We start from the raw sequence: 18435 nt of genomic DNA on the forward strand, positions 1-18435 counted from the left end.
GCATGGGCAACTTCTCTCTTCTGCCACGATCCAGTTTCTCTTCCTTTCCTGCAACCTTTTTCTCAAAGATTCAGGGGATGGATAGAGAGCCTTGAGGGGAGTGGGGTGCAAGAAGCAAATATCCTGGCTACAAAAGCCAGAAGTAGAAGGTAATTGATAGGGAAGGAGAAAGAAATGTGCCTATTGTGTGCCTGGCTCTGCTAGGTGTGACTTGAGAGTATACCGGGAAGTAGGAGAGGGAGAGCAGGGTGATGGAGAATAGTATGGCAGCTGGGTGGGGATTTGGGAAACCAAGAAGTCTGCAGGGAATGCAAAGCTAACATGGGTAGAGCCCAGCTCATCGTGGGTGCTCCCCTCAGAGCCAGGACAGCTTGGTTGTGGCTGGGTCACAAGGGGCTTTTTCTAACTCTGGACATTCCCAGTGCAGAGGACCCAGCATGAGTGAAGATATGGCCCAGAGCTAGAACGACTCCCTGCTCTTGGCCTGCCATCCCCTGCCATCCCCCAGCCACCCTGGGTGGCTCCACCCCAGAACCCCAGAAAGAGTCAGGCAGCTGTTCCAACTATTCCTGTAGGTGGACCTCAGCATGGAAACAATGTGGAACTGTTGGAAAGCCCAGAAGACTCTGTGGGAGATAAATAAGGATGGGAACAGAACCCTTTTTGGTAAAAACGATGTGTTTTCCCTCAGTGCTGAGGGATGGGGGACCAGCTTGGGAATGTTAACCTTTCCCCAGACAAGTCTGCTGGAAAAGGAGAAGAGTGGCCACTTCCAGGAGGGGCCCTACCCCTCAGGCCAGTGGCTTACAGGAAAGGGCCTTCCCCTGCCCCCACCCAGGGTAGCACAGGCAGGACACAGGAGCCTCCCTGGCAATGGCTGCCTACATGGAACTGCTGGGTCCCAGTGACCCCTTTCCCTCCCCTGTGAAAATTCAACGGGATGCCCACTAACTATCCATTTCCCTTTGGCCTCAGGGTACAGCGAGAGGTCTGAGGGCTATGGCTCTCCCTCCACTCCTCTCTGCCTCTCAAAGGCAGGGCAGAGCACCCCTCCATTTTCACAGTAGACTCTGACGAATCTCCTGGCCTCTGCACTCACCCAAGGATAATCACATTTAGAGGGATTCTGCTGCGCCTGCTTGCCGATGCTGCCATCCCATGGCTCTGTCCCCAGATGTGCCACAAACCTTCCTCACTGTCTCTGAGGAGGCTTACTTAGTTGAAGACAAGGCTTATTTTCCAAGCCCATCCTCTTATGTCTTAGGGAAATTGCTTACCAGAAGCTTGTCACCAAAGTGGTCTGATCTTATCCTCCACCTCAGGGGAGGGGTGGGCCTAGAGGCAGAGTGAGCCCTTTGTGTCTTCCATGGAAAGGGAAAATAAATCAACAGAAGCTGCCCTCTGCATGCCCCTCCTCAGCACCATGGAATGCCCAGTCCCACTCCCGCCATCCTTGCCAGCCTGAGAGGGCCATCCTGGCCCTGGTGTGGCAGGCCCAGTTGGGAGTGAACCGGAATTCTCCAGAGACAAAGCTCTGATTCACCAGCCAGGCCCTGACATAGCCGCCCCCTCCAGATTCCTGGGGGGTCAGTAAACAAACAGGGTGACCCCTGCCTCCTGGCCTGGCTCAGCCCCTCCTGCCTCCCTGAGAGGGCTTGCTCAGAGCCTGTCAGGATTCTGCCTGTTTGTGGCTCACCAGACACTAGGTCTGGATTCCTGGTGAGGGATGATCATGGAGCTGCCGGATCCTGCTATGGACTCCCCAGGCAGCACAGGTAGGATCAGCTCCTGGGGCTGCAGGCTGGCTGAGTGCTGAGCTTTTCCCATAGCTTGACTGCTTCCTCACTTCCCTTTCTCGGTGTGGCTGTGAGCTATGGTTTTAATGGGATGATTGGTTTCCTAAATTGCCTGGAGAGTCTTGTGTGGGAAAGAAGTATGGTTGGGGGCAAGGGGAGACTACAAGAGTCTTGGCCACTGACTAGCAGGGCCATTTTCTTTGCAAATGAAGGCAAGCATGTAGACAAGCAGGTAGGCAGGTGTGGGTCTCCCTAGTCTGGGGTAGAGCAGCCCAGGCTGATTTCCTCCTCCAATTCCCCTTCCCTCTGCCTGCTCCTGCCCCCTGGCTGGGCAGTTCTGACACTGTTCTATAGGTAGCTACCTTCCTTAGGGCTATCCGGGATAACCACCATTCCCCCAAACCCCACAATTACCCCCATAGGGCCTTACCAGTGCCCAGGAGAGCAAGCAATAGACTGTGTGCCTGAGGGCTCAAGACTAGACTTTGGCAGGCTCCATGGCTTGTCCTCTTGGCCATCAACTCTGGTCAGAGTCCTCTGCTCATCTTTATGAGCAGTTCTCTTGAAGACTGTGTCCAGGCTTCCTGACTGTGGTGGACACATCAAAGCCAAGTTTCATATGGGAAGTAAGACGTGGACCACTGATAGTTCTCTCTTGCCAGTCTACTCCCTCTATAAATCTTTATGGAGAAACTCCTCAGCTTGCTTTTCTAGAAGGTTGGGTAAACTGTAGGACCCTGAAGTATGAGCCAACAGCTTACCTGCAATGGTATGGTTGCCCATAATTTGGGCAATTCTGTGCAGCTTCTTACCTAATGCAGGTACTTCCAAGACCCCATCTGGGCAGTGGTCCTGAGGAGTGGGGGCCCAGCTTGGGAATGTTAACCTTTCCCTAGGTCCAAAATTTATAATCATGAGTAACAATAATAGTAGGCAGCAGTTCTATGTAACTGACCTGTACCAAGAGAAGACTTGGCAATGAACAGGACCACAGGGTCTTTCTTCATCTCAGTCCCTGAACACACAGAGAATAGCATTTCTGAACCCTGGCAGCAACCCTTCTCTCCCCTTGTTCACACTTGTCTCACCCTTGGCTTGGTGCAGACCAGGGTGTGGCACAATCCAAGGATCACAGGATGTTTGTGTTTCTGTCCAGGTTAGAGCTGCTGTCACCAGCCCTGCACCTCCTCAAGATGGTGCTGGGGTTCCCTGCCTAAGCCTAAAGCTGTTGAACGGGTCTGTTGGTGCCTCTGGACCCCTGGAACCACCAGCCATGAATCTGTGTTGGAATGAAATAAAAAAGAAGTCTCACAACCTCCGGTAAGAAACAGGTGCCTTAGGGAATTGGCTTAGATGGTGTTGGGCTCCTTTTGCTGCTGCACCCTGTCCTTCTCCTCTCAGCCTGTGCATCCCCCTTTCCTTAGCCCACCCACTTCTCCCTTTCCTACACTGGCACTGGGGAAACAGCCTTGCTTTAGAAGTCAGGAGACTTGGATCTGAGCCTCAGTTTTAAGTAGTTGTGTCACCCTGAATACTTTGTTTGAGTTCTCGAAATGTTAGCTTCCATTTGTTTTTTATAAGGACAAAAAATGAGTGGAGGAATAATACCTGTTCTAACTACCTCACAGTGTGGTCATAGGAATTCAAATCAGATGTGGAAATGCTTTCTAAACTTAAAAATGCCGAGGTATAAATGAAGGGGATGATTGCTCCCTTCTCCTCTTCCTCTCATAGCTGTCCTATATCTTGGTAGGTCTCATCTGTTCACTTCCCCATCCTTTTACGTTCTATCCATAAGTTTTCAGCCCACCTATTTCTCCCCAAACTAAGGGTAGCTCTGTAAGAGCCTGAAGTCAATTTTTTTCTCAGTTGATCGGCTTTCCCTAGCTGTCTGTGCATGCCTGCCACTTTTTTTCTCCACCCTCTATCATCAAAGTCCAAGCTTCTGGCTTCTGATGGGCTTTGTTAGGGGTGAGGCATTGTGGATAAGTTGAAAGAATGCAGGCTTTGGAGTCAGGTAAACCTGAGTTCAAATCATCGCTCTATCAATGACTTAACTGTGTGACCTTTGGGAACCTACTTACCCTTTCTGGGCAATAGGAATGCCTACTTAATAAGGTTTTTGTAAGAATTAGTTGAAGCAATAATTTAGGTAAAGATCTTGGCCTAGGTGGTGGTGAGGGGGGGGCAATGAATAAAGATAGTTATTATTGTCAGCCAAGGGGAATGGCTTGATGGCTGCACATATCCTTGGCCAGCCTCCAGCTTCCTACCATGGTTCATTTGGAGGGCAGCGGGGTAGGAGGGCAGACAGAGATAATTATACAGTACAGATTTTTCTGTTTCCATATCTCAGACCTCTAGCCAATGTTCCTTTGGGTCCCAAGGACTGTTATATTCGTATGCATCCTTGCACATGTGCATGCCTATACTCAACCACCCAACTTGCCCTTTCCACTTACTGAATCCTCTCCTGCTCAGAGGGCAGTTCGGAACAGCCTCTATGGTTGAGCAGTTTGGCATGACTTGAATTCTACCAGGGCAAGAGGGGAACCAGACAGCTGTCACCTCTAATGCCCTTGTTCAGTTTCCTACCCTTCCCAGCCTGATGTTTGGCATGCAACTGAAGTAACTGAGATCCACAAAGTGACATTTTAAGCCATTGAAGTTTGGGATGCCTCCACACCCATGGTTCTACCTACTGGTTTTAGTACTGTGCTCTATGTGGAGGTGCCTTGGGACCCTCTTTGGGTGGGTAAGAGGGAGGACTCCAGGCCTCCTCCCACTTGAACCAGAAAAGCTCCTCCTGAATTTGTTTTCTATATTAAAGTTCCATATAACTTAGTTTGGAAAAAAAAATGTTTTGCCACTTAAAAAGAAGACTGAACATCACTGGTTTTACTCATTGTGTGCAGCGCTCGCCTAGAGGCCTTCTCAGACCACAGTGGAAAGCTTCAGCTCCCTCTTCAAGAGATTATTGACTGGCTCAGCCAAAAGGATGAGGAGTTGTCAGCTCAGCTGCCCCTACAGGGGGATGTGGCCCTGGTGCAACAGGAGAAGGAGACACATGCGGTAGGTTAGAATCAGAGAAGCCGTGGTGTGTAGCCTCTCAGCTGGGGAGGAATCCCTTCTTCAGTACCCTGACAGACACCCAGCTCTGCTGAGACACCTAAATGAATAGGAGGCTGTATGCAGTCCTATTAGTCTGTGGCTAGCATGCCACAGCCTAAGTCAAATATTTTCTTTCTACCCCTCCCATCAAATTCTAGCCTCCCTTAAAATACTGCCATGATTTTTAATGGGAACATGGGGAAATGAACATAACATAATGCTAAGTGAAAAAACACAGGATACAAAACTAAGTGCAAGTGGATCTCAATTGTATAAAAATGTATATAGATGAGTGTGATGTTTACATACATATAACAGCATAGGAAGGAACTATATCAAAATGTTAACAATGGTTAACTCTAGGTAATAAAATTGGAGTTCTTAATTTTCTTCATATCTTTCTGAAATTTCTAATATTTCTGTGATATATATTACTGCTGTAGTTAAAATACTTCTTAAAATGACTACAGAATGAAATATAATACAGCAATAAAATAAACTATAACCACGTGCCACAGCATGGGTGAATCTTACAGACAGACAATATGTTGAGTGAAAAAAAGCCGGATACAAAAAGAGTATATACTGTATGATTCCACTTATACAAAGTTTAAAAATAGGCAAAACTAATCAGTGATTTTACAAGTAAAAATTGTGGTCACCTTTGTGGGAGGGGAGGGAGGGGTGGGGCATGAAGGTGAGATAGTGACTAGGAGGGCCCACCTGGGATGCTGATAGAGTTCTGTTTCTTGATCTCAGTACTGGTTACATCAAGATGTACAGTTTTAGTTTGTGTATCCCGTATATATTTCAACCAAAAATTTAATTATAATTTTAATATAAATCCTGCCTATCTTGGTTTTGATTTCCATAAGACCCTTACAGGAAGCTTTCTGAGTCTTCTGGAGAACCAAGATCCCCACATTTTTCTCTATCCTGTGGCATAGACAGACAAATTTCATACTAAACAGACCTTCCAGTGTCAGAGTTATTTTTCTGTCTATCAGGAGGATTGCACGCCTTTTTGTCTAGGTAGTTCAAAGATACCTGATAATGCCAAAGAATCAAGACACACTGAGAAGAAGAAAGGTTGTCAATTGCAGGATGGAATGTAAAGTGATTGAAAAACTTTCCTTTCCTGTTGACCATATTGCTAAACTTTATAGGCCTTTATGGAAGAAGTCAAGTCTCGGGGCCCCTACATCTATTCTGTGCTGGAGTCAGCTCAGGCCTTCCTGTCCCAGCACCCATTTGAGGAGTTAGAGGAGCCTCATTCTGAGAGCAAAGGTAGGTGGTCTTCTGTTTTTCCCACTTCTTCTTGAGCCATGTACTGCTGAATGCTGAACAAACACCCTCCTGCCTTCCCCAAACTCATTTTCTTACCTGTTATCTAGGAGGATAGTTTCCCCCAGGAGTCCATCCAAAGTTGGGGGGAAGCAAGATTCCTACTGCAGGAAAAAAAGCAAAGAGAATATAGCCTGGAGCAGGGGTCAACAGTTGTGTGACCCAAAGCTGTATGTGGCTCTTTGGAGCAGCATGTGTGGCCATTTAATGAGATGTGGAAAAGAAAAACAAAAAACCACTCAAATGAATTGAACTGACTCAATGAATAAAAGTACCAGTATGTCCTTTAAAAACATAGTGCTGGCTGGGCACAGTGGCTCATGTCTGTAATTCCAGCACTTTGGGAGGCTGAGGCAAGAAGATCACTTGTGCCCAGAAATTCAAGACTAGCCTGGGCAACATAGTGAGACCCCCATCTCTACAATTTTTTTTTGTGGGGGACGGAGTCTCGCTCTGTCGCCCAGGCTGAAGTGCAGTGGTGTGATCTTGGCCCACTGCAAGCTCCGCCTCCTGGGTTCATGCCATTCTCCTGCCTCAGCCTCCCGAGTAGCTGGGACTATAGGCACCTGCCACCACGCCTGGCTAATTTTTTGTATTTTTAATAGAGACGGGGTTTCACTGTGTTAGCCAGGATGGTCTCAATCTCCTGACCTCGTGATCCACCCACCTCGGCCTCCCAAAGTGCTGGGATTACAGGCGTGAGCCACCACGCCTGGCCCAAAATTTTTTTTTAAATTAGCTAGGTTTTGTGGTGTGTGCCTGTAGTCCCAGCTACTTGAGAGGCTGAAATGGGAGGATCACTTGAGCCCAGAAGTTCGAGGCTGCAGTGAGCTATGATTGCTCCACTGCATTCCAGCCTGGGCAACAGAGCAAGACCCTGACTCTAAAAATAAATAATATACAATAAAATAACAAACTAAAATAATCATAATTTAAAAATACTGCTTTATTCCAACATCGAGGGACATGCAAACCAGCAAATAATAAACCTTTATAAAATCTAAAAAGTTAGGTGATGATTGCCTTTGAAAGGCAAATTGACTATGACTCTTTGGAATTTTTTTGTGTTTAGTCTTTGTTTTTGAGACAGCCTCTCACTTCATAACCCAGGCTGGAGTGCAGTGGTGTGATCACAGCTTATTGCAGCCTTGACCTCCCAGGCCCAAGCTATCCTCCAGCCTCAGCCTCAGCCTCAGCATCCTGAGTAGCTGGGACTACAGGCGCATGCTACCACACCCAGCTAATTTTTGTGTTTTTTGAAGAGACCAGGTCTCGCCATGTTGGCCAGGCTGGTCTTGAACTCTTGGGCTCAAGTGATCGGCCTGCTTGGCCTCCTGAAGTGTTGGGATTACAGGTGTAAGCCACTGCCCCCAGCCGACTGTGACTCTTTGATACTGACTCCAATAACTTCTAGCCCCTTCCCTTGATAGAGAGGGCCACTCTGGTCTATAAGGCAGTGGGATGGGACTCATGGTGACTAGATCTGAGTGGTGGTCCAGCAAGCCCTCTTCTCCAAAAAGAATCCTCAACCCTCTGAGATGGATTGTGAATAGCCTGAAAGGACCCTTCATGAATTGAGCCCTTTGTCAATGCCATATGCCCATCTCAGTTTATTTCTGGCCCTTCAATGGGAGGGCTAGTACTTAATTTGATGCCCGATGGGCCTCAGATAGGACAAGCTCTAGAAAGAGCAGCACAATTCTAGTTAGCCTGGGGCTATGGGGCTCTGGATCTTCTGAGGAGAGATCTGAGGGAGGAAGAAGAAATCTACAGATTAGGAGCCTAGGTGGAAAAGCCAGACACATTATACCAACTTCTCCTGGGCTGAGCCTTCATAAAATGCCTCCCTTTGGCTGGAAGTGGGCAACAGAAACTAATGCAAAATCACATTCCAGGGTCGTATGAATAGGGCTCTAGATGACTTGCCTCACTATACCTTTTATAATGTCTTACTTTTTCATTTCCTACTGTTTTAAAATATGAGGAAATCCTCATGATATAGTAAGTGGAAAAACACAATATGGTCTCTTGACTGTGGTGGCGGATATATAAACCAACGCATGTGATAAAATCACATAGAACTAAACACACGTGTACACACACACACATACACACACGAATACAAGTAAAACTGGGGAAACTTGGACAAAATTGGCAGATTATGTCAATGTCAATATCCTGATTGTGATATTATACTGTAGTTTTGCAAGATGTTGTCATTTGGGGAAACTGGGTAAAGGGTACATGAAATCTCTGTGTTATTACTTATAACTGCCTATGACTCTACAATGATTTAAAAATAAACAGTTTTTTTTTAAAAAAAACGTGACTGTATTAAAGGGCTCAACCATGGAAAAATATGTATTTGTGTGTGTATGAATATATACACAAACATGCCCACATGTGCACACACACATACACACACATTTTATAAAGGGCTGTTTCTGTCTCTTTCTTTGAGCTGACCCTGCCTGGTTGGCCTAACCTGGCTTCCTGCCTCCTCTTGCAGATACCTCCCCGAAACAGCGGATCCAGAATCTCAGCCGCTTTGTATGGAAGCAGGCGACGGTGGCCAGTGAACTGTGGGAGAAGTTGACAGCCCGCTGTGTGGACCAGCACCGTCACATTGAGCGGACTCTGGAGCAGCTCTTGGAGATTCAAGGGGCAATGGAGGAACTAAGCACTACTCTGAGCCAAGCTGAGGGAGTCCGAGCCACTTGGGAGCCCATTGGGGATCTCTTCATTGATTCACTCCCAGAGCACATCCAGGCTATTAAGGTATGCAAGCCCCCTCCCCTGACTACAGTCTACCCTGAGACCTGACACTCTCCCCAGACACTGACAATGTTTCTGCTGCTGAGACTCCATTGTTGGCCTGGACTACAACTGAGTTGCTGTCAGTTTATGTGCTAGATTTGGGGCTGGTTTGGCTGGAGTCTCTTCTGTTTTCCTACTTTCTTCTCTTTTCCTGGTGTTTTCTGAGGATGAGAGGAAGAGGATAAGGACAGTGGCCGCCCACACCTTAGTCTGGTTGCCCTAATAGGCAAGCACTAGGCTGTGTTATTGAAACAAAACCTCTGGGTGAAGAGGGAAGAGTAGAGGTGAATGACTAATGTTTCTTCTTTCCCACTCTGTCTGCTGTGGCACTTGGGTCCTGGTTCTCCAGCTGTTCAAAGAAGAATTCTCCCCCATGAAAGATGGAGTAAAGTTGGTGAATGATCTGGCCCACCAACTTGCCATTTCTGATGTGCACTTGTCAATGGAGAATTCCCAGGCCCTGGAACAGATCAACGTCCGATGGAAACAACTACAGGTAGAAGAGCAGCCTGGAGTGAACCATGGGGAGGTGCCTCCATATAACTAGGCTTGGGGGAAACTTCTTCAGGGGTATGGAAATAGGATCTGCATGGGAAAAGAGGAGTGGAGAATGTGGAGCTAGGGAATGGGCTTTTCAACCTCTAAGCTGCAGGGAATGATTAAAATGAATAAGAGGGGTCTTTCTGGATTTGGGCACTCAGGGTAGACAGGGGCAGGGGAAGAGTGACTGTGGCCTGGAATTAGGGATGCTCTGCTGTGACCTTTGGGAGTTCTGGGGGATGGCTAGGAGTTGGGTGACGGTGGGAGAGGCTGGAACCAGAGAAAAGCCAGTCCCTGAGGAAGCTCATAAAGATTCCCAGAGGCACCTGGGGATCCCACTCTAAATAGCTGGAATGAATCTACTGACCTCACCCTGTTCTTTCCATAGGCGTCAGTTAGTGAGAGGCTTAAGCAGCTCCAGGATGCCCACCGGGACTTTGGGCCTGGGTCACAGCACTTTCTCTCCTGTACGTGAACCAAACTGGACTCCACTTAGCAGAACCTCAGCCATCTTCCTGGAGAGTCTATTGTTATCCCCTGGGGCCCTGGTGGGAGCCCAGTATACCTTGACATCCGAGAAGCAGTAAGGATAAAACAGTGTGGTATAGTGGTTAAAAGAACAGTCTCTCGGCTGGGCGTGGTGGCTCACACCTGTAATCCCAACACTTTGGGAGGCTGAGGTGGGCGGATCACCTGAGGTCAGGAGTTCGAGACCAGCCTGGCCAACATGCAAAACTCCGTCTCTACTAAAAATACAAAAATTAGCTGGGCATGGTGGCGGGTGCCTGTAATCCCAGCTACTCGGAAGGCTGAGGCAGGAGAATTGCTTGAACCCAGGAGGTGGAGGTTGCAGCCTGGGCGATAAGGATGAAACTCCGTCTCAAAAAAAAAAAAAAAAAAACACAATCTCTCAAATCGGAGAGATCTGGGTCTGAGGCACAGCACCTCAACCTAATAACTGTGCAGGCTCAAAAAAAAAAATAGCTTACTCTTTCTGAACCTCAATTTTCCCATCTGTAAAAGGAAGGAAAAATATTACCTAGCTCATCAGGTTATGGGAATTAAATGACTTTATTTTTTCAACAATATTTATTGAGGGCCTTCTGTGGGCCAGATACTGCTCTAGGCACTGGGGCTGCATCAGTAAACAAAACACACAGAAATCCTTAGACAGCTTATATTCTAGCTGGGGAAACCAGACCACAAACAAATAAGTAAAATATATATAAGGTTACTTGGTGACAAGGGCTATGGACAAAAAGCAGGGAAGGCGTGGATAGGGAGTGCTGGACTTAAGCATGGAGGTGTTGCAATTTTGAACAGGGTGGTTAGCAGAGGCCTCACTGAGAAGGTGGCAATTGAGCAGAGGTCTAAAGTAGATGAAGAGATGAACCGTGTGGATGATAGCTGAGGGAAGAGCATACCAGGCAGAGGGAACAGCATATTCCATACCTTTAAGGTAAGGATGTGTCCAAGAAACAGTAAGGAGAGCAAAGTGTGGGGGAGTAGGGGAGGCTGGAGCATGTAAGGCCTTGTAGGCAATGGGAGGAACTTCAGATTTTATTCTCAGTACAGTGGAGAACCATCGGCAGGGTTTGAGCCAAGGGATGGCATGATCTGCCTTATGTTTCAACAGAGTCAGGGTGTTGAGAAGAGACTACTGGGGAGCAAGAGTGGGAACAGGGAGGCCTATTTGGAGGTACATTGCAATAATCCAGGTGAGGGATTATGGTGGCCCAGACTAGGGGGCTGGTAGCAGTGGAGATGGTGAGAATATACAGACAGAAAAATGAGATATGCACACAAAGCAATGAGCATAATATCTGGCACATAGTAGGAGCTCAGTAAATGTTAACTGTGGTTAAAATTGTTGCTATTATAATCATTGGCATACAGCTATACCTGCAGGCGGAGGACTCTTGTACCGAGGAAAACTGCAGTGAGCAAGCTGGCCATGTAAACTGAGCCATTCGTGGAAGGTCCAAAAGATAGACACAGGCAGAGAGAGGCATGAGTTTCCAGAGTTCCTCATGAGAGAGAGAGAAATGGGCAGTACCATTACCCACAGTCCCACAGGACTGAGAAGCTTGACCTTCTAGGGGAAGAGCTTTGAGCCCTAAGGGGAAAGTGGAGTCTACTTCATATCCGCAAGAGTAATCCAGCTGCCTGCAGCTGATGGGTAGAAATGGCAGTCTGCTCAGGGAGAAGATTGTCAGGGTGGCCAAGGCCAAGTATTCCTGTTCATGCCCTTGCCACATCTCTGGTATGTTAGGATATCGGTGACAACCTCTTCTCCTTGCCTTGCCCTAACATCAGGGAGAGAAGCGTGTTCATTAGAACTCTTTGTCCCACCCTCAGAGGCTGTTAAGAGCTGGCAATGAAATTCAGACATCCCCTTTTGGGCTTGACAACCTCTTTGGGAGAATAGAGCAAGGGAGTAGCTGGGGGCCTTAAGAGCATTAGTGGCCAGCTTTTTTTCTCTTTCTCTTCTCCTTTACCAGCCTCTGTCCAGGTTCCCTGGGAAAGAGCAATTTCACCCAATAAAGTTCCCTACTACATCAAGTGAGTGACCATCTGAATCAGAAGCGGGTCAGTCACCTGCCCACCCCCTCCCTCTCCTGCCTTTTTGCTACCTGTCCTTGTCACTCTGTCTGTTGGGATTCCTCCATCCAGTTCGGTTTTTCTCCTACTCATCTCAAGATCTCAAGATTCTACTTGGGTAAAGGTGAACCCTTGGGCTTTGGCATCTTGGGTTTACCCTCGAACCCTGCAGCTTCTTGCATCCAACCTGTCACTTGAGTGGTGTGCACATCTGAGTGTGGGGGTGGGTGGGTGGTATAGATGCTGGTACTATTGATGCTATTGTTTGTAGCCACCAGGCTCAGACCACATGCTGGGACCATCCCAAGATGACAGAGTTATACCAAACCCTAGGTAAGAATGTGGGCTTCCTGTATAGGGTGGGCATATACACAGCTGCCTTTGTCCTATAATGTCCATCTACAGATGAATGGATAAAGAAAATGTGGTATATCCATGTAATGGAATATTCAGCCTTTAGAAAGAAGGAAATACTGCCATTTGAAACAATGTGGATGAACCTGGAGGACATTGTGCTAAGTGAAATAATAAGCCAGAAACAAAAGGCAAATACTACATGATCTCATGTATGTAAGGAATCTAAAATAGACAGACTCATAGAAGCAGAGAGTAGAATGGTGGCTGCCAGTGGCTGAGGGGAGGGGAAAATGGGGAGATACTGGTCAAGAGTACAAAGAAGTTTCAATTATACAAGATGGATAAGTCCTAGAGAGATCTACGGTGCAGCATATTACCTATAGTGAACAATACTGGATTGTATCGTTAAAAATTTGCTAAAAAGGTAGATCTTATGTTAAGTGTTCTTACAGAAAAAAACAATAAAGAGGGTAGTTGGAACTTTTTGGAAGTGATGGATGTACTAATGGCATAGATTGGGGTGATGGATTCATAGATGCATACTTGTCTCCAAACTCATCAACTTGTAGACATTGAATCTGTAAAGCTTTTTATATGTCAGCTATAACTCAATAAAGTGGTTTTAAAAAGAATAGAAGAGAATCGCAGTCAATAAGCAGGTGGGAGAGGGAATGAGTGCCTCATCGTTTCTCCAACAGCCTGCCTTCCTTTATCCTCGCACCTTTCTCAACTGGAGGCTCTACATTCCCCTCTGGACCATTTTATCACCGGATTAGTGCATTATTCTTACAGATGTGAAGTCTGATTTGCTTTAAAAGACTGTCCAGGCTGTGATGAGCGTAACTCTTGTGTGCCTTATCTTTGCCTACTGTGAGAGACTCATCATTATGTTTGTTGCACATTTTATCCATGCTGATGCATGTGACTACAGTTCATTCTTTTTTACCACTATAGAATGTTCCATTGTATATAGCACAGTTTCTGCTGTTGACAGACACGTGGGTCATTTCTTGTTTTAAGCTAATGAGGACAGTGCTGCTGAGGAGTTTCTTATATGTGTCTTCCAGTACATGTGTGCAAAGATTTCTCTGGGGCATGTTTTTCAGTCTGCAGGTCATAACATCATTTCAGTGTGTTGTGACAAACATTTAAAAAGTTGAAATAGACCAGGAAATATTAATATGCAACAGATCCTTAGCAAGAGTCATAGTTGATATTAATTTTGTTGTTTTCACTCTATGCAATCTAGTAAGGAATTGCTTCCTGAAATGTTTGATTTAGTTATTTTTACATATATACATGTATACTATAAAATGAATTTCATACTGTAAGTCTTGATCAAAAAGCATTTGCAAGTCACTGCTCTGGGATATATAGCTGGCTGGGTGGTGGGATATGTGACTGTTCCATTTTACTAGGTGATACCAAGTTGTTTTCAAAGATGATTGTGTCAGTTCACACTTTCACTGGCAGTTCTCATTCATCCCCACTCTTGTTGACACTTGCTATTGTCAGACATCTATTGGTTGCCAGTCTGGTGGGTGTAAAATGGTATCTTGTTGCGGCTTTAACTTGAATTTTTCTGATCTGAGTGGGTCTCTCTCCATTCTTTGCAGCTGATCTGAACAACATTAAGTTCTCAGCTTATCGCACTGCCATGAAACTCCGCAGAGTCCAGAAAGCCCTGCGCTGTACGTCTCCTGTTGTACTTCCCTATGACGTTCACCACCCCTCTCCTGTTCCTCATCTGTCTGCTGTTTCTCATTTTCCTCCCACCTTGGCAAAGGTTGTTGATTGGCTTGGTGGAAACTCTCCAAAGCCTGCAATATGCTAGCTGTCAACTTCTGCTCTTCCCAGTTCCCTTCCACTCTCGCTAGGCCCCAGACGTGTTTCCAAATTAACCCCACTGTTATGCTCCTCCTTGACCCTTTTCCCATGCTCAGTATGTATAATCAAGCAACTGCTTTGTGACAGGAAGTACTGCAACCCATGATTTGCCATCTTGGGGTTATTGGATGTAGCAGCAAAACTGTTGAAGCAAATACCAGTGGTTAGGGAACAGTGTGGCTGAGGATATAATATGCCTTCTGGCCTTTCTCGGAGACACTGTTCATTCAGACTTCCTGGCTCAGGCATGTCTGGCTAGGCTGAGCCAGCATTTGGGGGTAATTAAGATGTCCTCTTGATGTATGTCACATTTCCCCAACCATACCTGAGCCTTCATTGCTGGTGTCTAGGTTCTCAGAACAAAACTTACAGACGAACCTATTTGCAATTGAAACTCATGCAAAGACAGAAACTTAAAATGGGATTTGATCCCTTGAGAGTTAGTATAACATAGGAGTTGAGTTTACTCATGTCCCATCATCTTTTTGAAACTGATGTCAAAGAACATTGGATATAAAAACATGTTGGGTTAATTTGAGGAACATTTTGCTGCCTTCTGCCTCCTTGGATGAGGGTCTTAGTAAAGGACAAGCTTGTATCATATTTGCAAATGGTTGATCTGGAGATTGAGTCAAATTTGGTGATGCTGGTGGCTTTATCTCCTTATTTAATCCCTGGGGTTCTACTTTTGGCTATATTTTTTTTCTCTTCTCTTCTTTCCTTACCAGTGGACCTGGTAACTTTAACCACAGCCCTGGAAATCTTCAATGAGCATGATCTGCAGGCCAGTGAGCACGTGATGGATGTGGTAGAGGTCATTCACTGCCTGACTGCCTTATATGAACGTTTGGAGGAGGAAAGAGGCATCCTGGTCAACGTGCCACTCTGTGTGGACATGAGCCTCAATTGGCTCCTCAATGTTTTTGATAGGTAAGGGCTTTCAGCTCTGGAAGCCTCCAGGATAAAATTCAATGGGATATCTCAAGTGGGCCTGGTGGGAAGGTGTTGCTCCCATAGTAGACTTGGACCCAGCTCAGCTTGGGGCATGGTTGGAACAGGGCCCTGCTGGGATCAACTTTGTGAGGGAAATGATTGCCAAGATGTTAACCCTTTACATACATTCATATTCTCAGTCTCTTCTTTTTAAACCTAGTGGTCGCAGCGGAAAGATGCGGGCATTGTCTTTTAAGACTGGCATTGCATGCTTGTGTGGCACGGAAGTGAAGGAAAAACTTCAGTGTGAGTAGAACTCCAAAGTGTGGAGTGGTGTTGGGTAGAGGGAAAGGTGTTGCAGGGAGGAGGAAGGGTGTAAGATAAGCAGAAAGTACATCTTGTGACTCAGCAGAGGGCTACTTGGGCTACCTTATGATGCTTCTTGGTTCACACTGTTGCAAAGAACACATGACAGCCAAAGGACAAGATGGGCCTAAGGCCTATTACTATTCCCAGTGTCACTCCAACGGGCTTCATTCCTTCTGAATTGATGGAAGTACTTAGTCAGGATCTATGTTGGCATTTTGAGGTACCCAGGGCCCTGATGTTCTAGTTGCATTCCCCTGTGGCCTATCAGGCTTAGCCCTCTTCCAGTCTGAAGCTCAAGCCATGTCACTAGAGACTTCTTATATACACAGGCAGGGCACAATAATACCCAATATCTGGGAGGCGGACACTATGTTCTTCTGTAGTTTTTCACATCTTTGGCTTATAGTACCTTTGTGTTCCCCTCTGTCCTCCATCTTGTGTTCAGCATTTTGAACTTCTCAGTAGCAGCATGATTAGTTGTTGAGTCCTAATATGTGACTGCTAAATGGGGTGAGTGCTAAGTTAAATTAGACGTGGTCCCTGCTTCCAATGATTTACAGTCCAGAGGAGGAGATGGAAGTACACAGAAAGCATTTTTTAGAAAGTACTGATGAGAATAATCCAAATGGCCAAAAATATATCCTATATCATATGACAGAAAAGAGACAGATGACAGCAGTCTGGAAAAACTTTACAGGGAAGAGAACGTTTCCAAACATGTTCGTGGCTATGATATTATGTATTTCTCTCAACATTTCCTTGCAATGGGATGAACAGTGATTATTTATCATCAATTTAAAAGTAAGGAAACTGGGCTGGGCATGGTGGCTCATGCATGTAATCCCAGCACTTTGGGAGGCCGAGGTGGGAGGATCACTTGAGCCCAGAAGTTCAAGTCCAGCCTAGACAATATAGTGAGACTCCATTTCTAATTTTAAAAAGTAAGGAAATGGCAGCATAGAGAGGTTCATGACTTACCTATGATTCTACAACTAGGCAGTAATGGACCCAAAACTCGAACCTAGGCTCTCTGCCTTCTATTTCTGTGTATTTTCTAAGCCTTAATCAAGGTATGAAGCAGACAGAGAATAACCTCTGGAGGAGGTTTGCTAAGGCTGAATTGGGATGTGGAAGGGAACAGTCCTAGAAGGGCTTAAATAACCCATATACAAAGATAAGTATCATAGTAGATTCCACAGAGACTTAGAGATAATTTTTAGATGATCAGATGTTTTGAATTAGCTTCTCTTTTTGGATTATGCATGCCAGTGTTTCCTTCCATTTGTGTGGACAATTGAGAGATTACTGCAGTGTCAGACTACATAAACAGGAGAGATGGTATGGCAGCCTGACTGTGACTCATGTTCAGGTGCCCCTGAGCCCGTACCCCATCATCCTGCTTCTGGAAGAATCTGTTTTCCCAACAGTATCATATCTGTGTCTGGCACTGCTCTTACACACAGTGCACTCGACCTCTCTCTCTCTTGCTTTCACTCTCTCTCACTCTTTCTCTCTCTGTCTCCCCCTCCCCCTGATATTCTCTCTTTGTGTTGGCCTGATTTTTCTCTCTGAACTCAGAGAATGCTCTTTTTAGAACTCGGCTACTAGAAGGTCAGGGATAGACCTCTATGTAGTCCAGTTTGAAAAGTCATTAGCTCAGTCTGTGCTCTTTCCCTATTTTCCTTTTCTGCCCTTTCTCCTCACCATTCTCCGGCCATTCCTGTGTCGGGGTTGGCCATTCTTGACGGTGGGGCCAGCAGACCTCTTCAGCCAAGTGGCCAACTCAGGCAGCCAGTGTGACCAGCGCCACCTTGGTGTCCTGCTTCATGAGGCCATTCAGGTGCCCCGTCAGCTGGGTGAAGTGGCAGCCTTTGGGGGCAGCAATGTGGAGCCCAGTGTCCGTAGTTGCTTCCGTTTTGTGAGTATGGAACTGGGGAGTGGGGGAGGGAAGGGAGGTTGCAGGAAGGGTGGGAAGAAGGGAAGGAGGACTACGAGCTAGGCTTTTGATCTGAAGTACGCAGATGCAAGGGAGTTTATTGGGATGGAACAACAGGGCAGAGGGTTCTCTGGGCTCTAGAATCATAGTCCTGTTAGGGAGGGTGTCAGCTCAACTAGCACAGGGCAGAACGTGAACATCTCTGGAGAACAGGCCAACCCAGCCCCTGCTGGTTCTCCTGCCCCTCTGAGGGCTGCCATTCTAGGGATAAGACACTTTGGGCCTCAGTCATTCCCATTGGTCTTCTTGTTTCCGTAGAGCACCGGGAAGCCAGTCATTGAAGCATCCCAGTTCCTGGAGTGGGTCAACCTGGAGCCCCAGTCCATGGTGTGGCTGGCTGTTCTGCATCGGGTCACCATTGCTGAGCAAGTGAAGCATCAGACCAAGTGCTCTATCTGTAGGCAGTGCCCCATCAAGGGGTTCAGGTAGGGAAAACAATACCTGCTGGGATGATAATAATAAATATGTCATGTGACATATAACTCAGATATTAAAAAATAAAGTGTCACCTAATTATTATATAATTACAGCTAGTCTATTGTACATTATTATATACTGTTATAATCCTTTATATTGCAGAATGTTTAATTGTTTTTAAATGGGAAGTGAGGAAATATTTTGTTTTAGTTGTATTATAAAGTATTACAGACCTACAAAAATGTATAGAAGAACATAGGTGTAAGA

The 18435-nt window shown here is 46.2% G+C and overlaps 1 protein-coding gene across 5 annotated transcripts in view; it reads left to right on the forward strand.

Moving 5' to 3' along the window:
• DRP2 (dystrophin related protein 2) overlaps nucleotides 1–18435 on the forward strand; it is a 44717-nt gene that overhangs the window by 13122 nt on the left and 13160 nt on the right. For 3 of the 5 annotated variants that reach the window (NM_001939.3, XM_047441894.1, NM_001171184.2), the window contains 13 exons: nucleotides 2953–3116; nucleotides 4712–4868; nucleotides 6074–6194; nucleotides 8761–9029; nucleotides 9418–9564; nucleotides 9997–10075; nucleotides 12110–12170; nucleotides 12481–12542; nucleotides 14183–14257; nucleotides 15182–15383; nucleotides 15607–15692; nucleotides 17516–17673; nucleotides 18010–18176. In NM_001939.3, coding sequence (NP_001930.2) covers nucleotides 2953–3116; nucleotides 4712–4868; nucleotides 6074–6194; nucleotides 8761–9029; nucleotides 9418–9564; nucleotides 9997–10075; nucleotides 12110–12170; nucleotides 12481–12542; nucleotides 14183–14257; nucleotides 15182–15383; nucleotides 15607–15692; nucleotides 17516–17673; nucleotides 18010–18176 — 1748 coding nt within the window. Of the gene's footprint in view, nucleotides 1–2952; nucleotides 3117–4711; nucleotides 4869–6073; nucleotides 6195–8760; nucleotides 9030–9417; nucleotides 9565–9996; nucleotides 10076–12109; nucleotides 12171–12480; nucleotides 12543–14182; nucleotides 14258–15181; nucleotides 15384–15606; nucleotides 15693–17515; nucleotides 17674–18009; nucleotides 18177–18435 lie in introns of those variants that run through there. The other 2 variants (XM_017029333.2, XM_047441895.1) reach the window with 2 other exon arrangements.

The sequence above is a fragment of the Homo sapiens genome, chromosome X (assembly GCF_000001405.40).
Source record: "Homo sapiens chromosome X, GRCh38.p14 Primary Assembly".
Lineage (NCBI taxonomy): Eukaryota > Metazoa > Chordata > Mammalia > Primates > Hominidae > Homo > Homo sapiens.